Here is a 6,000-nt window from a genome sequence, read left to right on the forward strand (position 1 = left end):
TTGCCCAGGCTGGAGTGCAATGGTGTGATCTCGGCTCACCGCAACCTCTGCCTCCTGGGTTCAAGCGATTCTCCTGCCTCAGCCTCCCAAGTAGGTGGGATTACAGGCGCGCAACACCATGCTCGGCTAATTTTTGTTGTTTTAGTAGAAACAGTGTTTCACCATGTTGGTCAGGCTGGTCTCGAACTCCCGACCTCATGATCCGCCCGCCTTGGCCTCCCAAAATGCTGGGATTACAGGCATGAACCACCGCACCCAGCCAAATGATTTTTAAAAAATAATTACTATGTATAAAATAACAAATAGGTAATTTGGGTAATTTCATTTTGAACTCTTTGGCTAAATATTTTATGTACATATTGTCTCAGCAATCAGGAATTAAAATTTATAAACACTATTAACAAGCAATACTCTCTGATTTGAAGGAGAATCTAATTTGGAAGTCAGTCACATGATGATTGTGTTTTTAAGTTTTTTTTTCCATGCATTTGTTATTTTATGAATTGGTCTGAATGATGAGGCCAGGCAAGTGTATACATCTTTTCACTGGTAGAAAAATCTGTAGCAAAGCCTGTGCCCTTTTTACAACAATGACTTTTTTTTTTTTTTTTTTTTGAGATGAAGTCTCACTCTTGTGGCCCAGGCTGGAGTGCAATGGTGCTATCTGGGCTCACTGCAACCTCCATCTCCTGCCTCAACCTCCCGAGTAGCTGGGATTACAGGCGTCCATCAACAGTCCCGGCTAATTTTTGTATTTTTGGTAGAGGCGGGGTTTCACCATGTTGGCCAGGCTGGTCTTGAACCCCTGACCTCAGGTGATCCACCCGCCTCGGCCTCCCAAAGTGCTGGGATTACAGGCATGAGCAACCACACCCAGCCTGGATTTTGAAAAATGTATAGAATCATATATCCACTACCCTAGTACCATCTACAACAGTTCCTTCATCCTAAAAATTTCCCTTTGAATGTTCTTTATCCCTTCTCCCTCCAACCTTTGATAACCATTAACCTGTTTTCTGTCCCCATAGATCTGCTTTTTCCAGAATGGTATATGAATTGAGTCAGATAAAATGAAGCCTTTTGTGTCTGACATTTTTTTCACCTGGTAAAACGCATTTAAGATTAATTGATGTATGGATTAATAGCTTATTTACATATATATATATATATATTTTTTTTTTTTTTTTTTGAGACAGAGTTTTGCCCTTGTTGCCCAGGCTGGAGTGCAATGGCGCGATATTAGCTCGCTGCAACCTCTGCCTCCCAGGTTCAAATGATTCTTCTGCTTCAGCTTCCTGAGTAGCTGGGATTACAGGCATGCGCCACCACTCCCGGCTAATTTTGTATTTTTAGTAGAGACGGGGTTTCTTCATGTTGGCCAGGCTTGTCTCGAACTCCTGACCTCAGGTGATCCACATGCCTCGGCCTCCCAGAGTGCTGGGATTACAGGTGTGAGCCACTGCGCCTGGCCAATTTGTTTTTTTTTTTAAATAAACATAGACAGCATCTCGGTATGTTGCCCAGACTGGTCTTGAACCCTGGCCACAATCGATCCTTCCACCTTGGCCTCCCAAAATGAGCCACTGCACCAGGGCAACAGCTTTTTTTTTTTTTTTAGACAGATCCTTGCTCTGTTGCCCAGACTAGAGTGCAATGATGCAGTCTTGGCTCACTCCAACCTCTGCCTCCCAGGTTCAAGTGATTCTCCTGCCTCAGCCTCCCGAGGAGCTGGGACTACAGTTGCTCGCCACCACGCCTAGCTAATTTTTTCTTTTTGTATTTTTACTAGAGACGGAGTTTTGCCATGTTGCCCAGGCTGGTCTCAAACTCCTGACCTCAGGTGATCCACCTGCCTCAGCCTCCCAAAGTGCTGGGATTACAGGTGTAAGCCACCTCATCTGGCCTGACAATAGCTCATTTCTTATGATCCATATGGTTATACCACAGTTTGCTTAGTCTTGCATGGCTGAAAGATATCTTGGTTGTTTACAGTTTTTAGTGAACATATGTAAAGCTGCTATAAATATTCATGTACAGGTTTTTGTGTGGATATCAACCTTGAATTAACTTGGGTAAATACCTAAGAGCATGATTGATGGTAAGTCTCTCCTTAACTTTATAAGAAACTTCTAAACTGTCTTTCAAAGTGGCTTTACCGTTTTCCATTCCCATTAGCAGTGAGTGGGAATTCTTGTTGCTCTGTATATTTTCAGCATTTTTTATTGTAAGTTTAAAAAATTTTAGCTACTCTAATAGTGTAGCAGTACTTTGTTTTGGTGTTCTGTTTTGTTTTGTTTTTTGAGACAGAGTCTCACTCTGTTGCCCAGGCTGGAGTAAAGTGGTGCGATCACAGCTCACTTCAGCCTCCACCTCCCAGGTTCAAGCAATCCTCCCGTCTCACTCTCCCAAGTGGCTGGAATCACTGGCGCATGCCACCACACCTGGTTAATGTTTGTTTGTTTGTTTGTTTGTTTGTTGAGACATTGTCTCGCCATGTTACCCAGGCTGGTCTTGAGCTCCTGGGCTCAAGTGATCCTTCTGCCTTAGCCTACCAAAGTGTTGGCATTGAAGGCATGAGCCACTGCACCCTGTTGGCATTTCCCTAATGACAGATGATCTTAAGCATATTTTCAAGTATTATTTACCACCCATATATCTTCTTTGGTGGTGTCTGTTGAGATCTTTCACCCACTTCTAAAATCAAGATTTTTTTCCCCAATTATTGTGTTTTAATTTTGTTCACATATTATCTTTACAAGTCCTTTGTCACATCTATAACTTCCAGTTTTTTGACAAGTATTTTCTTCCAGTCTGTGCCTTGTCTTCTTTTCATTCACTTACCAGTGTTTTTGTAAAGCAAAAACTATTAATTATGATAAAGTCTAATTGATTTGTTTTCTCTTTCATGGATTGTATTTTTGGTGTTTTATCTAAAAACTCAAACTCAAGGTTAAGATTTTCTCCTTTATATTCTTCCAGAAGTTTTATGGCTGTGCATATTATTTTTAAGTCTATGATACATTTTGAGTTACTTTTTTATAGGTGTGAAGTATTGTCAAGTTTTTTTTTTTTTTTTTTTTTTTTTTTTTTGTGATTGAGTCTTACCCTGTGGCCCAGGCTGGAGTGCAATGGCGTGATCTCTGCTCACTGCAACCTCTGCCTCCCAGGTTCAAGTGATTCTTCTACCTCAGCCTCCCGAGTAGCTGGGATTACAGGCATGAGCCACCACACCAGCTAATTTTTGTAACTTTAGTAGAGGCAGGGTTTCACCATGTTGGCCAAGCCAGTCTCAAACTCCTGACCTCAAGTGATCCACCTGCCCCAGCCTCCCAAAGTAGATGGATGCCAATTGTTTCAGCATCATTATTGAAAGGAGATTCCCTTCTTCATTGGATGACCTTTGTACTTGTATTCAAAATCAAGTGACTCTATTTTTGTCCTTCCATTTCTGGCCTCTCCATTCTGTTCTGTTGATCTATGTGTCTGTCCTTTTGCCAATACCACACTCTCTTGATCACTGTCCTTTGCAGAAAGACTGGAAATAGTATCTAATAATTTTGAAAGGTATGTTTTCATCATCATTCAGTTGAAAATATTATCTAACTTCCCTTATGTTTTCTTCTTTGATCCGTAGGTTATTTAGAAGGAAGATTTAAAATTTTCAATACTTTTTTGCCCCTAGACAACTTATTATTGATTTCCAATAAAATCTATTTTGGTCAGAGTACATATTCTGTATGATTTCAGTCCTTTGAAATATGTTGTTACTTGTTTTATGTCTCAACATATGACCTGTGTTAGTGAATGTACCATATTCACTTTACAAAATATATATTCTGGAGCTGTTGAACACAGTGACTGTAAATGTCAGATCAAGACGGTTGATAGTGTTGTTCATTTGTATTTTTAAAAAACTAAGAAAAAGCTGGGCGCGGTGGCTCACGCCTGTAATCCCAGCACTTTGGGAGGCCAAGACGTGTGGATCACCTCAGGTCGGGAGTTCGAGACCAGCCTAACCAACGTGGAGAAACCACGTCTCTACTAAAAATACAAAATTAGCTGGGCGTGGTGGTGCATGCCTGTAATCCCAGCTACTCGGGAGGCTGAGGCAGGATAATCGCTTGAACCCAGGAGGCAGAGGTTGCAGTGAGCGGAGATTGTGCCATTGCACTCCAGCCTGGGCAACAAGAACGAAACTCCATCTCAAAAAAAAATTAATAAAAAAAAAACTAAGAAAAAATAGAGCATCTTTAACTTCCCACCATATATTTGGCATTTCCAGTGTTGGTCACTCCTATCTGAAGACTCAAGTTACCATCTGGTATGACTTCTTTCAACCTGGGAAACTCCTTCAGTATTTTTCTTGCAGTAGAGTTATGTTTGCAACAAATTATCCTAGTTTTATTTTATCTGGAGACACCTTTTCATTTTTCTTCCCTGAAAATATTTTTACTGGATGTGCAATTCTGAGTTAGGTTGTTTTCTTACAGCACTCAAAAAAATGCCATTTCATTGTCTTCTGACCACCATAGTTTCTGATGACAAATTATGAACACATGGACTGGTCATTCTCATAATTGTTCTCATGTATGTAACGTGTCATTTTTCTCTGATTATTCTCACGATTTTCTGTGACCATAGGCTGCTCAGGGCTGGACTTGGATATGGCCATAAAGTGGTACTGTAGGAAGTGCAGTATCCTGGAATTAATTCCGGACCTTGGAATTAACAGGGCTGGGCCCCTTAGCACCTGCCCTTAGCTCTCCTTTCCCCAGGTCCCTAGAAACCCCCTCCTGATCTACACACACACACACACATGCACACACAACTTCTAACAGGGCCCTTCTCGTTTTTCTCTCCCCCCTGGTTCCTTCCACTCTCCCCCTTCTCTTATGATCCATTTCATCTCCCTTCTGCTCTCTGGACCAAGGCCCCAGGCCCGGACTCCAGGCTTGGAGCTCACAGGCTGATTCCTGGGATGAGCAGCCTCCACCTGCAGGAGCAGCAGCAGGAACAAGGGAGGGGACAGGAGGGCAAGGCCCCATTTTGGAGGCTGAGGGACTAGGTCATGTGGTAGCAATGGTTTGGGGGTGGATGAGCCCCAGATATGATCCCACTGTTTTGGCCTGGAGGTATCTCTTCCCTAAAGCCAAAATCCAGAGTCACTCAGTGGTGGGAGGAAACGTCAGTGTCAACATGGATTTTGGGAAGCTGGATGGACTCAGAGCCTGACTTGAGATCGGGAACCCCCTTGTATGCAGAGCCCTGTCCAGGTGCTGGGAACAGGAGAGCCTGGGAGGTCCTGGCTAGGGAGAAAGGGGAGCGGGGTCTCTGTCCTCGGCCCTGTGGCCACACGGGGGCGCCGCTGCGCTGCTCTCGGATTCTGAGTGCTCTCCGGGACGGGGCTGCGGGCTGAATGGGCAGACGGGGCTGAACCTGAGGTCAACCACGCTGAGACGGAGGTTCCTCCTGAGCACCTCTGGAATCCACAGGACTCAGGTTAGATTTGTTTGTCTTGCAACGTGAGGCAATTGTGGTGTAGCAAGATCTGGCTCTAGAATTCTTATGGCAAAATAGCTGTCATAGAATCCAACTAGAATGAGAGTCCAGGGCCTGGGTTGACTGCCCTGGGCACACCTGACTCTTGATGGGGTTGCCAAAATGTAGCTTGGCATTTACAAAAATTCTTTCCAAAGATTGCATCAAAGTCCAAAAGAATTATGTACAATTTCATTTCTGATGTCTCTGGCTGTGCTTTCGAAAGGGCAGGAAGAGCCATGGAAAGAGGCTGAAAGGCCCCTCTGGGAATTCTCAAATCTCTTTTCATAGCAGTAACTTGGACCTAGACAGCAAAGCCTGAAAGACACAGGTAGAAGGATCGCGAGGCGCAGCCCTCCCTTCTGATCAGCACAGGTATGGCTGTCTGGGCGCTTTTGCCCCTCTGTGTTCAGCAGGATGGACTCTGCAGTGAGGCGCAGCCCCTGTCTCCCCACTGCCCCA

General features: G+C 43.9%; 1 annotated feature.

The window, feature by feature from the left end:
- Positions 5,886–6,000: a silencer, noted in NCBI's record as "fragment chr6:29671001-29671115 (GRCh37/hg19 assembly coordinates)". NCBI's record gives its function as "represses an EF-1alpha promoter that drives an FKBP-Casp9 reporter gene in an ReSE screen in phorbol 12-myristate 13-acetate-treated (for megakaryocytic differentiation) K562 erythroleukemia cells {active_cell/tissue: K562(+PMA)}" and the evidence as "EXISTENCE:reporter gene assay evidence [ECO:0000049][PMID:32094911]".

The sequence above is a fragment of the Homo sapiens genome, chromosome 6, assembly GCF_000001405.40.
Source record: "Homo sapiens chromosome 6, GRCh38.p14 Primary Assembly".
In the NCBI taxonomy this organism is placed as follows: Eukaryota; Metazoa; Chordata; class Mammalia; order Primates; family Hominidae; genus Homo; species Homo sapiens.